The 15,321-nt window shown below is 32.0% G+C and overlaps 1 protein-coding gene across 6 annotated transcripts in view; it reads left to right on the plus strand.

Moving 5' to 3' along the window:
- Positions 1–15,321, plus strand: part of VPS50 (VPS50 subunit of EARP/GARPII complex) — a 128,758-nt gene that overhangs the window by 63,626 nt on the left and 49,811 nt on the right. For 5 of the 6 annotated variants that reach the window (NM_001257998.2, NM_017667.4, XM_011516396.4 and 2 more), the window contains 6 exons: positions 751–845; positions 1,154–1,252; positions 7,469–7,559; positions 9,837–10,013; positions 12,833–12,951; positions 15,175–15,281. In NM_001257998.2, coding sequence (NP_001244927.1) covers positions 751–845; positions 1,154–1,252; positions 7,469–7,559; positions 9,837–10,013; positions 12,833–12,951; positions 15,175–15,281 — 688 coding nt within the window. Of the gene's footprint in view, positions 1–750; positions 846–1,153; positions 1,253–7,468; positions 7,560–9,836; positions 10,014–12,832; positions 12,952–15,174; positions 15,282–15,321 lie in introns of those variants that run through there. The other variant, XM_047420601.1, reaches the window with a different exon arrangement.

Below are 15,321 nucleotides of genomic sequence, written 5' to 3' on the forward strand. Positions count from 1 at the left end.
CTGGGATTACAGGCATCAGCCACCATGCCCAGCTTGACCATCTTTTATAGGATATGTTTTGAAAAAAATTGTTTAGGAAAATATATTTTGAAAACATAAATTTCTTCATGAATCAGTTAATATTTATAATTTAGTGCTCTTCTAATTTTTGATAATTTTGTATTCGATATGCTATTTGATTTTATGCTTTAGTATTTAAAATTTATTTTTGTGGTTGTAAGAGGTTTGACATATATTTTCTCATTTGTCTATATTAAACTCATAACCATATTAAACATTTATTAAAATTAAATATTTAATTTATCATTAATTGTGGATTTAGGCTGACTGTTTTCTGAGTATTATGCATAAAAAGAAAGGAAAATCTTATAGTTATTGAATATACACCCAGGATCAGATATGATTTGTTTCTGACTTAGTCTCCCAATAGGCCTTAAGTGTACTTTGGTAAAATTTTACAATCTATGATAGAATTTCTGGTAATTCAGTGTACTTTGAAATACTGACTTAGCACTTTATGTAGCTACTTTCCATTCAGTTTGGCAACCTGATGGCATTCCTGGTATAGGAAATGGGATTGTCTCTATTACATCCCTTAAGGATGTTGGCTATTGGCCTAAATAGATATTCGTTAACAAATTAGGAATATATTCCTGTCTCATTTTAATCTGGAACTATAGAGTAAATGCTTCTGATAACTTATTTTCTATATTTTGGGTTTGCTTGATTTTCTTTTTCTTTGCCTTACAGGATGTTCAGCTAAAAGTAAAAACCTACTTGCTTGGAACTGATTTGTCTATATTCAAATATGATGATTTCATCTTTGTTTTGGATATAATCAGCAGGTAGTATTTAAGATCTTGTCTTATTCTTTAGTTTGAGTCATTCAACCATGATAAATCATGAGCTAGTGAGTTATCATCTATAACTTCTTTATGGAAATGAAGATAATTTTTGCTGCTAAGTTTGTGAGTGTATTTAAATATTTCTGCCCTTTGGGTGTTTGTAAACCTTTATGGATTTGTGATCTTTAGAATTTTTTCACATGTCCAAATTTTAGTGATTTTTTTTATCTTTGAAGAAAGAGAAACCACACTTCTTTTTCTCTATAAGGCTGCTGCTGAAATTTACTGAAACCTTTTTATCCAACTAGGTTGATGCAAGTTGGAGAAGAATTTTGTGGTAGCAAGTCTGAAGTTTTACAGGAATCTATTAGAAAACAAAGTGTCAATTATTTCAAGAATTACCATAGGTAAGAACTCTAATAAGATATGAATCGACTTATTTAGGTAATGAGAATACTTTTGTCTAATACTTAATCTTATAGCATTAATTGATTTTAAACAATTACTTTTGAATTTGAATGTGTTGTAGCTTTTTTAAGATGGTTAAGGATTTTTTTAACCAAAATATGATGAAATGTTCTCATTACATATTCATTGTACATTTTAATATATTTTTGTCTTGAGGGGCTTAAAATATTGAACTGATTTTTTAATGAGTAAAACATGATTATTATATCAAGGTTCACAGAAAGAATTTGGCCACTGTTCCATACCTGCATACATATGGGTGTGCTTATAAGGAAGTTAAATCAGTAGAGGCAGTGCTCAGTGAGGGGGTGCTTGAGAGTATCTATCTTTTAAATGTAAGAAGGATTCTAGAGGAGAGGATGTGATATTCAGAATTCCCCTATAAATCCAAATTTGTATACTGCATTGCTTTGCAAAACAATCACTGCTAATATTTAAAAGAGTGACTAGGAATGGTTTGGGTAGTGGAGGAAGGTGGGAAAGAATGTTTATAATAGCAGTGTGATTATATCCTTACAGCAGCAATAAATTGAGGGAAGGGAGAGCTAACATGAGATTTCTCTTGATATAAGCTAGACCCCAAGTTGTATCCCTTTTGTCCTTTGAGTTGAGTTTCATCTTACTTTTTATTCTGAACTTTTACTTTTTACAATTGAATTTAAGTTTTGATTTCCTTGTTATTTGGTCCCAGAGAGAGTCATGATTTGAAATTCTGCTTTTTCTCCTTGTTCATAGTCAACACCTGCTCACAGTGATATATGCCATGTCAAAAGAGAGATGACTGAACACCAAACCATTGATTAATTAATTATTATATATATTTGAATACAAGTTATCTCTGTTAATTGTAAACAATGAAGTAAATTGTTTGAAAAAGATTTAAATTGAACTATACTAAAGCAGAGCCTTTGAGTTTCATGACTGAGAATGTTTAAAAATTTTTTAAAAATTTAATTGACTAAACCTCAGGGAAACAGTGGGAAGGGACCAACAGGAAGCCCTAACACTGCCTTTATTTATAAGTTCCTTGTCTGCTAAAACTTAAGCCCTGACTAAAACAAAAGGCTGGCCCTATAAACATTCCTGTATAGAAGTGGGAGGGGCCTGTTAATCATGGATGGGGAAATAAAATGGAAGCACAAAGGAGCCGGAAGCCTCACTTTCCCTGCAGTATGAAGGCATGCCAAATGTCTCTCTTCCCAGAGATTGCTTTGTATCCAACATGACAACTGGGAGAACTTTTGGTGTTCCTGGTGTCTAGGATGTGTGTACAATATAGAGACACTGATTTATTTAGTAGCTTCCATTCTGCATTCTGTTTTACTTATTGTCAAAAGGTGTCTGTCATCTGTAGCAACTAGCTAGGGGCATTTTGACCATGATGGAAATTCCTCACAGAGTTCACATTAATAAAATTAGAAAATACAGAAATGAATGACTTAAATCTTCCTCAAACACTCAACATTTTAAATAACTTCTCTTAGAAACATTTGTGAAACTTATTTCTCATTGATGTGGCTGTGCTATATTATTAGAAGGAAAGCTGGGTTGAGTAATAGTAGACTTGGGTTCTTGTCGCATTTTTTGCTGCTTACCAACTGTCTGGTATTGGCAAATCCTTTAACCTCTCTGGCCTGTGATTTTATGCATTGTAAAATGAAGTGGCCAGATTAAAAGGTCTCCATAAGTGTTGCCTAGACATCTTGACCCGTTTTTTTGCAGTATTGTATATTGTAAAAATTGGGGCAGGTTAAACAGCAAAAATTTAATTATTACTTAGTATTCTTCTTTTTCCCTAGTATTTAAACAAAAGTTTAAGGTAGTCTAGTTTCTATCCTGTCTGTAGTCATTTTCGCTCTGACAGTTGCCATCAGGAAAATTATAGTGGAAGTCATTTGGTAAAGTTGGTGCAAACCATCAATGTGTTCTAAGGTATATTTGTTTCTTTACAAAACAAGATAAACTTGAACAGAAACTTTAGAAATGATACTAGTGTCCATACATTGAATTGACTAAAGTCATTACATTAGCCAGTGATGAATCTAAATCTGCAAAATCCCAATTTAATATCCCCTTTGCCAGTCATTCTACATAAATACTGAAAAACTGTATGAAACATGGTGAAATATAGATCAAGTATGTTCTTATTTTGCTAATAGAAGTGTTTAAATGTGCATACAGTTTGGTTCATGGTCCTCTCCTGCCAAATATAGCTCTTGAGAATGAAGAAATTCTTGAACCAAATTATTCTGACTTTCAATCTATTTAAGCTATTGGTTTGAATTTATAGGGATAATAAAAAGGTAAAAATAGGAGCAGTTTTGTTTTGGTGGAACATCTACTTATGAAATGTATTAATGTTAGTTGTGGTAGTTGTATGAAAGTTTGCATTCCACTCTCTTTTTCTAGGATAAAACTGTATGAACACATGAGGGAACACAGCGTCTATTATTGATTGTTTCTACTTCTCAAAAGTATAAGTTTTATTTCCCATTTTTTAAAATATTCAGGTACTAAGTTTATATACACCCAAAGAACATCGTTCTGTCAGATGCTGGAGAACTTCTAAAAGCACAAATATTCTAATTTAAACAATAATGACATAAAAATTAGAGAGCAATATATAATTGTCAAAATATTGTTTAATAAGTACATTTTATTTTGTAATTGCTCTAGTAATCAAAGCTTATAAAATGTTTTCAAGGATCTTAAAGTGGCATTGACTGGTGTTAGAAGAGAGAAGTCACCTATCTTTTTAGAAGAAAATGCAACAAATTAGATGAAATAAACAAATTCCTTATAAAGCCAAACTTAATGAGCTGACAAAACAAAACATAGAAAATGTGAATTTTGAAGAAATTATATGTCTTTTGAAGAAATGTCTTTGAAGAAATTATATTTGGGCTTCAAAACATTTCCATTAAGAAATCTCCAGGCCTGCTGATGTCACTGGTAAATTCTACCAAACATTTAAGGAGAAAACAATACCAATACAACTCTTTCATAGAATAGAGAAACAGGGAATGTTTTATAACTTATTTTATGAGGCCAGCATAGCATTGATACCAAAACATAACAAGAGGACATTATAAAAGGAAAATGACAGACTAGTCATTTTCTCAAGAACATAGATGCAAAATCCTACACAAAATATTGGCAAATTTAATTCAGTGATACCTAAAAAGGATAATATGCTATGAACAGGTAGGATTTATTATAGGAGAGCCAGAGTTGGCTAAACATTAAGAAAAATTAAGAAATTTAATTTAGCAATTGACAGAATACAGGAAAATATCACGTTATTACTTTAATAGAGAAAATAATTTTGATAAAAATTCTACCCCAGCTCATGATTTTGAGAAATTGTGTTTTTGTGTAATTTTAACTTTCTTTCTAATTATGTTCTTATATTTAAAGTGTGCCCTTTGTTAACAGCTTATCAAGTTTGGTCTCGTTTTGCTGTTGTTGATGTTGTTTTACTAACTGAGAAAAATATATATAATATAAAAAGTAAAAATATATATGATTGATCAAAAAAATGCAGAAAGAGAAAATTTCTTTAAAATATTTAACATTTTTAGATATCACACAGCAATATGATGGGTTTAAACCTATTAATAATTATGCCAACAAATACATTAAATGTAAATGGAAAAACAGTTCTATCAAAACATAAAAATTGTCAGATAAGATTTTAAAACAACATTAGGGGCCGGGCACAATGGTTCACGCCTATAATCCCAGCACTTTGGGAGGCCAAGGTGAGTGGATCACGAGGTCAAGAGTTCAAGACCAGCCTGGCCAAGATAGTGAAACTCAGTCTCTACTAGAAATACAAAAAAATTACCCGGGCGTGGTGGCGGGTGCCTGTAATCCCAGCTACTCAGGAGGCCGAGGCAGGAGAATTACATGAACCTGTGCGGCAGAGGTTGCAGTGAGCCAAGATCGCGCCACTGCACTCCAGCCTGAGTGACAGAGTGAGACTCTGTCTTGAAAAAAAAAAAAAAAGAAATACGTTGTTGTAATGGTTACCACCAACATTTCAATATGCACTTATGTTCTACTGTAGTCTATTTTAGGTAGTATACTTCCAGAATAATGCAGGAACCAACTTTGTAACTGCGTTTACCTTCTCTTACCTTTTTGGTGTTGTCATATACTTTTACTTCATATATTATTTTCTATACATTTTTTATGCCTAGGGTTGACTGCGCTTCTTCAATCTGGTACCTTTTATCACTGTATTAGTTTTAAATTACTGTGTAATAAATACCACAAACCTGTCTGGAAGAGACAGGAAGCAGATTATCCCCTAGGGCCTCCAGAGAGTGGAGCTCTGCTAACACCTTGATTTCAACCCACTGATACTGATTTTCAGGCTCTGGCCTCTAGAACTGTGAGAGAATAAATTTTTGCTTGTTTAAGTCACCTAGTTTGTGGTAATTTGTTATAGCAGCCATAGGAAACTAATATAGAGTAGAATTACTGGATCCTATGGTAACGCTCTCTGTTTAACATTTTGAAGGAACTGTCACACTTTTTTCCAAAGTCATGATACATTTTACATTCCTACTAATACTGTATGAGGGTTCCAATTTCTCCAAAACCTTGTCAACACCTGTTGTTTTCTGTCTCTGATTATGGCTGTCCTAGTAGGCATGAAGTGGTATCTTATTATGTTTTGGGTTTGCATTTCCTTGATGACTAATGATGTTTAGCATCGTTTAAGGTGCTCATTGGCCTTTTGTGTTTCTTCTTTACAGAAATGTTTGTTCAAAGCTTTTGTCCATTTTGAATTGGGTTATTTGTTTTCTGTTGTTGAGTTGTCAAGTTTTCTACTTTTAGTTCTTACCTTAGGATTGTGATCCACTTGAGGTAATTTTTGTATGTGGTATGAGCTATGAGCACAGTCACTTTTGGGAATTCTTGGCCATTATGTCTTCAAATATTGCTTTTGCTTGTTCTCTGTCCTTTCTATCCAATTGCCTGCATAATAAATGTTTTGACTATCTCACATCTCTCTTATGATCTTTTCTGTTTCTTCCTTTTTTTTTTTCAAATTTTTGCTTCAGTTTAGATATTTTCTATTGATCTGTCTTTGAGTTCATGAATCCTGTCTTCAGCCACCTCTAGACTGCTGTTTTACTTATCCAATCATTTTTTAATTGGAAGTATATTTTTCAGTTCTCAAATGTCTATTTGATTCTTTTATTGTTTTTCTTATTGCAGTTATTTGAAATTCTCTTTTCTATCCATTTTATACATTTTTTTCTATTTTATTTAACTTATAATAATTATCTTAAAGTCCTTGTCTGTTAACTCTAGTATTTGGAGCAATTCCTGATTTTTACGGATTCATGTATTTATTGTCTCTTTATTTTGAACCTGTGGATTTTAAAAAATCTAGATTTTGTTTTTAGCATGGTAGTAACAACTTGTGGTAGAAAGAGGAAGAACAGGGTAGGCACTGGCCCTTTTGTCAACTGAAAATAAGGGTTTGTTTTTCTGGGACTGCCTATATCATGTGCTGATTACTCAGGATAGACAGTAAGAATAATAGCATTAAAGAAAGAAAAGAGATCAGTATGGTGTAAGTGATTAGTGTAATGTCAAGTATATACGTGTCTTAGCTGCTAATTTAATTTGTAAATGCTATATAGAGACAGGCACTGAGCTAAACATTTTCAGAAAGTGATAATTATCTTGCTATTGTGGCTTCACTAGGTATGGTTCAGACCTGTGCTGTTTAACATAATATGTTGGTATTTATGATCTCATATAATCTGTAAATTTTTTCTTGATGTTTTAGCATCAATATATAATCAGCTAAGGATATTTTAAGTATGTGAGTTGGAGACAAGCTTTTAATTTAGTCCTCTAATAAAACTGTCATTTCCTATGCATTACTTTTGCAATATAGTAAAAATACTTAGTTTAGTAAACATTTGAGAGAGTTTTTCTCTCAAGGATGATAAGATATTAACTAATAAAAGTAAACATTTCTGTTTACTGTGTTAATCAGAATGGGTTCTCAAAGTTGATTATGATCATGACAATAATCCTATAATTATTTGTATTGTACATTATTTCCTCAATTCTTGTGTGCGGTGTACTTTTCTTCTCACTTTTTGGAGTGTTCATTTTCTTTTTTTAAGAACACGGCTCGATGAACTGAGAATGTTCTTAGAGAATGAGACTTGGGAACTTTGTCCTGTTAAGTCAAATTTCAGCATCTTGCAACTTCATGTAAGTGTTTCTTAAGAACAAAGAAATCTGTCTTTTAGTAATGTATTTTACCCTTTTTTTTGAAAAAAAAAATCCAGAAATATATGAAAACATTTATAAAATAAATTAAGGAGCAGTTTCTTATCTTCCTTCCTTGAAAGTCATTAGTAGCCAGCCTCTTTTTAAAGGAATGATCCTTTTATGGTTGCGAAAAATCAGTCTTACAAAATTCAGTTTACATACTTTAGGAAATCTCTTTTGCCTAAAAAGAGTTACAGTTAAAATGATATTTTTTGTTTGTTTTGAATTCAGAAAAGGGTGACTGCTGTATTTAAGTTTTGCAGATAATCAATTAGCTATATTTTGGCATAGTTTAATACAAATGCTTATTTATATTTGTAGAATATTTTTCATTTCTTAAAGGGACTAGTAGGTTCCTAATTTGTGCTGCAATTCTTAAATTTGCCTGTAATGAAAAAATGCCTCAGAAATAAAAGAGGCACTTATAAAAAATACTCTTAACTAATTTGTATTAGTTAATCAATTCCTGGAATACTTACAGAATAAGCAGTCTTTGAAAAAGTCTTTAATTGGTTTGATTTTTCCCTTGGTTGAAACACATTGTAGATAAATATTCTTGTGTGAAAGATTGTGTTCTGGAAATATCAAGTGTCAAAATGCAGTGCATATAGTTAGATCCTTGTTCAGAAAGTATGGTGTGTTTAGTTTCTGCCTTTGGAAGGAGTGGCTTTCTAGAAAGCAATTTTCTTATTCTGGATAAATGTAAAGAATACATAATTACAAGTTTTTTTTTGATAGGGATTGTCTTTATGCTCATATTGTATAATAGCTTCTTATCCAGTTTTATTATATTGTTTTCCTATTATAGAAATATTAAAAACCCTGGAACATAGCAATTAATAAATGCTTTAAAGACAGCAAAATTAATGTTAATGTTAATTAGTATTAACATAAGCATTAACATTAAATTAACATAGGATTTAAGAATTCTCAAAGATTTAAGGTAATTCCTTAACATCATTTAGAATTCTAAGTTTAACATAAATTTTAGAATATCTATTAAATAATTTTATTTGAACTCCTTTTTAACCATCAGACTGTGTGTGTGTGCTGTCACGTTGTCAAACTTAGTATAATTGTAAGACATGTTTTTTAAAAAAGGCATGTTGAAGCATTCCCATCTAGGTGAACATTATCTCCTTTAAAGTAGTTACCTTGAAAACTATTCACAGCTTAGTGTTCACCTGACATGCATTCATGTGGATTTGATTTTCTAAAAATTAGTCTCATTGATGTATATTCACTCCTTATTTAGAATTATAAAAATAATGGCATGATTCTTAGGCATTATAATATATATGATTAAATGTATAGTTGAAATGCAAAAGGAAAATAAACACATATATCATTTAATACAACAAGCCAATGTACCTTTCAAGAATTTTAAGAATACCTTTGAAGAATATCATTGAAAATGAATAAATTTAAATTTGGGATTATTCTGTTTAGATAAAAGAAAAATGTTTGTTAAATTTTGTGATAAATCATTAAATCAAGATTTTTGTAATTCAAAGGAACTTTAGAGATTATTCCAACTTTTCCTCTAATTAGCTGTGTGATGTTGAACTTTGCACTGAATCCCTTCAGACTGCCTCAGTTTCCTCATGTGGTTAATGCATGACTTAGACTGGGTCTTACAACTCTTTAGCTTAGCTAGGAGTAGAAGACACATCATATGACTTTGGCATATATGTTTGTGTTGTCTGTTTCTTGGTATATAGCGAAAAGTAAATGAAAGTTTGTAGGCGTCAATGTAACACAGATATGTACTTCATACTTTATTTCTGATGTATTTGTACAGAATATCTTAAGTGGTGCAAGCATATGAAAAAGAGAAGTGTTTAACAATTAGTTTTCATAAATGACTTTATTGATTAGGATTTTTGCTGTTCTGTTAAAATTTTTAGAAGACATCATTCAGATTTCTTAAGCTATTTTAAAAAATGATCTCTGCAGTTTCTTAAAGGAAGCCAAAAGTAGCTTGATGCAGATGATACTGTTTTAAGTGATACCATTCACTGAGTTGTCTTTAGGAAAACCTTTAGATGTGTATTTCCAAGTTTGTGCTTTTAGATAACTTGAAAGATTTAAAAGTCAATAAACTGAAGATCAAGATGTTGTTTTTCTACTAACTCTACATGTATATTGAGGGATTCGGTTTATGTACTAGAATTTTATTGTTGCTAAAGGGTATCTGGCTCCTTTTTTAACATCTAGGAATTTAAATTCATGGAACAGTCTCGCTCCCCATCAGTTTCACCTAGTAAACAGCCAGTCTCAACTTCTTCAAAAACAGTGACCTTGTTTGAGCAGTACTGTAGTGGTGGGAATCCATTTGAAATTCAGGCCAACCACAAAGATGAAGAAACAGAAGATGTCTTAGCTTCTAATGGGGTATGTGGTGTATGTGAAACATAAGTGAGTTTTTTTTATTTAAAACTGTTCTACTCAATGAACAAGGCAATTCACTACATTTACGTATCCATTTACTACCACCCTGCCTGCCTGTATACTTAATGTACCTATGCTATTACATTTATAGATGATGACTTTACAATATGCTTTGTTGACCTTGTCCTCTTGAATAGTAAATTTTCCCTTTATGTTTGCTTTATGTTCTTATTACATGATGTTCTTATCAGGTTGCTAATCAAGTAGTAGTGTAATTTCTTCACTGAATATTTACGTGATATATTATGTGAATATTATGTGATATATTGTGAGATGACGGAATAGATATCATCTACCCTTTTTCTCGACACCCTTTATGGGTCACTGATTCATTTTGTTCCATGTCCCTTTATCTAAGAGAAAGTGGTAATGTCTTGCATAGTTGCCTGGCAGGGATATTTTTTGAGATTTAGAAGTACAATGTTTTAACAACACTTTGAGGACCTCAAAAACAATATTAACTAGACGTAGTGTGAGTTAGTGGAAAGGATTTGAAGGCAAATAATGAATATCATCTTTATTATTTATCAGCTGTGTGGCCCTTGGCAAATTATTTTAACTTTGTGACCCTCAGTTTCTCCATATTTACAGGGAGAGGAATGCTTGCTTCACAGTTCCTGCATGGTGTTTTCACAGTATTTTACTTGACTTAATATTTTGTTTGATGGTTTCTTCTGATCTTCATAATTTCCATAATGACCCAATATGATTTTTATTTTTGATTTGATGAAGCTAAAGTGAAAACCATTCAGATGTGACAAAATATGTTGAAGGATTTGTCTTTATATTTTATGTTAGTTTTAGAATTTATTTTTCATTTGGTGAAGACAAAATTCATTAAGTTTAAATTGTTTCATAGTAAGCCATATTTAAAATTATGATTCAGTGATTCTTTGTGACATTTTGCCTCTGTGAAGTTGGCTTAACCGAGAGGAATTTAAAGTCATTCCAATTATTTTGGAATAATATATCTCTCTATAAAAGTGATTCATTAATTAAAACTTAGATAGCATTTGATTCTCATTATTTGCAGCAGTGTGTTCTATAAAGTTGCTGTGAATACTAAATTAGCAAATACTGAACCATTACTCCCAGAGCAAATATAGGATTAGGTTCCTGTGAGCCTCGGGTTACGACATGTTTATCAGCCCATCAGTACATAATCTGAATTCATAGCCAACAACGCTGTAACTCTTGCCTAAATGAAGCTTATCAGACACACATATTTTGTTTCTCAGGCACATCACAGCCTTCTTGTACTTAGAAACACTAGACAGCACTTCAACGCAACACTTGCAGTGGCATTCTAAACAGTTAAATCACCAACAAAAAGCACAAAAATACAAAGCACTTGGCACTAAATAGGTCAAGAAAAGGAAACTTGTTTATAGTATGAGAGCCTAAGCAAGAAGGCAGAGCATGCCTTGTTTGTATTCAGCTGGGAACATGCATGTTGGATGACTCAAAGTTTTCACTGTTCTGCACGTTTATGACTGACTCCAAAAATATCAGAAGTATTGACTTTAGGGTTACAAATAAATTTCAGTGAGTAGGCAAATTTGCAAACATTGAATCCTCAAATAATGAGTATCTATGATACGGTGTGGTCACAAACCTCTGTTGTTGTAATCAGGACATCCTAGTTTATGTAGAATACCTTTCTGCATAGCATCAGGATCACATTGTGTATAAGTATAAAGGAGTACCTGTAAGGCTTGTTTGCAGTTATTAATGTGTGATCTGATCTTTCCAGGTGCAACTTATGTCCTTGAGAATCAGGGTCCACATTTAAATACGACCTTTCATAGTGCTTTTTATTAACAGACTCTCAAAAAATAGTTGTTGAATTAGGGGGCTAAATTCTTTCCATGTTGTTATCATACTGGTTTCCTCAACTGTCATGTGGAGATAAAACTTCCTCATAGAAGTGTCTGTATGATTAAATGAGATAATTCATGAAAGCACTTAGCATAATACTTGGTTAAAAACTCAGTGTTAGCTATTACTTAATGATATTAATGTTAGCCATTTAATCGTATTAATCTATGACATTAATAGATGATGATGATGATGATGATGATGATGATGATGATGAAAGTGCTGTCACTGCTTCCTTTACTGTGTGCATGAATTCCACTGTCTTTCCCATGCTGGCATTGGGCCATGGTGCCATAAAGATGATGAAAATGTTAGGAAGACACCCTTTGTCTCAAGAGTAAATCCACCATTTTTGTCCTCATTCTCAGCAGGTCCCTGTGTTCTAAGCTTAATTTTCTAAGCTGCCCTCGGAATTAAATTTTATAGTGAATTAGAACATCAGCATGTGTGTTGCATGTGTTTATTAAGCTGAAGTAATACTTCCAGAATGCCAGAATTGGATACTGAACCTCTTTTTAATGAGTTTTATTAGCAAATTGGAAATAAGTATGGTGAAACTTCTGAGAGACTTTAAGAAAAAAAAATGCGAATGTATACTCTTTAGGCCTAGTGGAATGTTTGTTAGGTTTTGGTTTATGGCGATTTGATTTTGTTGCACATTTTCAAGCTTTTATAGGTGTAATATTTTTCTTTTGTGCTGATTGAGGTAGAATGATGAAGACAATGGAAGAATAATTAGATTCTTGGTGACAACATTAAAGCTAAATTAAGAATTTTCTTGTATTTAGCTGTTTCTTATAAAACTGAGTACTTTCACTGTGTTGAGACACCCCACGAAAAGAGGCCCTTTATACTCATTTTTTAATAACCTGTGTTTTCTTCAGTATGAATCTGATGAACAAGAAAAGAGTGCCTATCAAGAGTATGACAGTGACAGTGATGTTCCTGAGGAACTCAAACGAGACTATGTGGATGAGCAGACAGGAGATGGTCCTGTGAAAAGGTGATTGTTCTTAAATTGTGTGGTATTTAGCATTTTATCTTGTGCTCTTAACATATAGGATTTCCTTTAAGGTTAAGAAGAAACAAAAATTATTTTTTTTGGTACTTATAATGTCACCTGACAGAAGTTAGTATGTTTTAAAAAATGATTCCTGGAAGGCTAAAAATGTGTTGTTCCTCTTAACATTTCATAACTGAATTTCAGGAAAACTAAAATAGTTATATGAAAAGTTCTGCCTTGCAAAACCTTTGCTGGTATCTCACAGATCAGTTCATCTAACTGTGAACTGGATTGTTAATGTGTCAAAAAAGAAATTGATTTAGCCATTTAAAAACTTTTAAGTGGCTAGTGTTAATGTAGCTTTCCTTTGAGTTATACAGTTTGTTTGACATTGCTTTTTGTAGCAAGATTCTAGTTCCTTTTTTATGGTATCACAAAGTTAGTGATTTGTTTAAATCTGTTAAAATTACTTTATTATCTTGTTGAAAATATTGGGCATAATCAAAGAGATTAGTTTTTGCAGAGGAAAAAGCCTTTAGATTTATAAAATCAATCCTGCCTTTGGTGGCCATTTATGCTTTACATAGATAAATAAAAATCCTCAAGGAGAAAATGGTCATTTGTTTTGTATGTGGAGTTCTTGCTTCAATCTTATAAACACAGAAAGTCGCCACTTATTTCCCCTATGTCATTTTTGTTCACTATTTGAACCTTCTATCAAGGTGTCCTATTAGTGGTTGAGTTTTGTTTTATGATAAACTGACCTCTTCAAAACTATGATAATTATAAGAGAATTTTTTCTTACCTTTTGCCAGTTAAATGGGCCTGATTCTGGAATGTTAAAATGACTTGATTTCATGACTATCATACATTTAGTGACTATAGATATACTTTTTGCTTAATGATAGATTTCTTAATGATAGATTCTTAATGATAAGTATATTCTTATCGTTTAACCCTAAGCTACCTATTTAATACTGTTTAACTTGAAATCTCGACTGAAATAATTCTGTTTTCAAAAGTGAGCAATTCACGTAGTTGTAGCTATTTTAATTGAAAAAATTTGTTCTATTGGTTTTTGCGTATGTATGATATTAAGTGTCAGCATGATCTACTGTGAACTGAATAGAACTATTTTGTTGGAATTCTTTATTAGATGTGTTTTGGGAATATTTTGGCCAAAAGGAAAGGTCTATTTGAATTGAAATGTACAAGTAAGATAGTGTCTGCCAGTACATGTGTATATACCTCCATTTTTGGTAGGGTTACTGGAGCCCCCTAAACTTTTTACCCTTAAGAAGTTTGAATTGAACAAATTAGTAACTGAAGCCAATAAATTAATAGATATTATCAGTTCTAACTTGTGTCTCTTGAATTGACCAATTTTTCTTGTATTTTACCACTACCATTCTAGTTTATGCCAAAGTTATCTCTGTGCCAGATTATTAAATCAACTCCTTTACCTTGGATTCTTGTCTCTAGGCTTGCCCCATTCCAAACAACTCTTAGATCTAAATTTAGGGGTTTTTTTTTTCATAGTTACAAATTTAATCATGCTGTTTTTCTGCTTAGCTTTTAGTGACTCACCACTGTGTTCAAGATAAGGTTCATATCCCTCAGGTTTGATTGCTTTCAGAGATATCTGGCCTTTACTTGCCTCCTTTCTTGTCACTTTTCCCTCTGTTCACTTCTTCTACATGCGAACGTGGTGAACTCCTTGTACTTTTCTGAGCGCACTCTGTTCTCTCTTATCTCTGACCCTATTTTATGCCGGCCCTTTTTTCTGTGCTGACCATATAGCTTTTACTTTTCTTTTGAACCTTATGCTGCCCCGTAACCCCAAATACTGCCATCAATATTCTGTACTTAATTCACGTTCTTAGGAGGGTATTTTTTCATAAGTTTCTGAAATCAAGAAACAGTACATTTGCACCTAGATGTATTATTATCCTGGAAAATCAGTTTTTTAAAGAGATGTAGCTTTTTTAGTGGTTGATAATGTTTTATAATCGAAGAAATGCATTATGGTACTTTATTTTTTTGCTTACTTATTTCCCTTATGGATTGTAAATTTTATAAGAAGTTAATTTCTATATCTTTACCTAATGCATAGTAAGATTTTCATTAAATAATTAGTTAATAAAGGCTAGGGACCTATCTGACTAACTTATTGGTTTATTACTTGACAACTCTAGCAACTCTGTTTTGTTTTTCCATATCAAGTGTTTCTCGGGAAACTCTAAAAAGCAGGAAGAAATCAGATTACAGTCTAAATAAAGTGAATGCACCTATCTTAACAAATACAACATTGAACGTCATAAGACTTGTTGGTAAGTAGCTACACCTTTAAAAAAAATTATAACAGTTAAA

The sequence above is a fragment of the Homo sapiens genome, chromosome 7 (genome assembly GCF_000001405.40).
Source record: "Homo sapiens chromosome 7, GRCh38.p14 Primary Assembly".
NCBI lineage: Eukaryota > Metazoa > Chordata > Mammalia > Primates > Hominidae > Homo > Homo sapiens.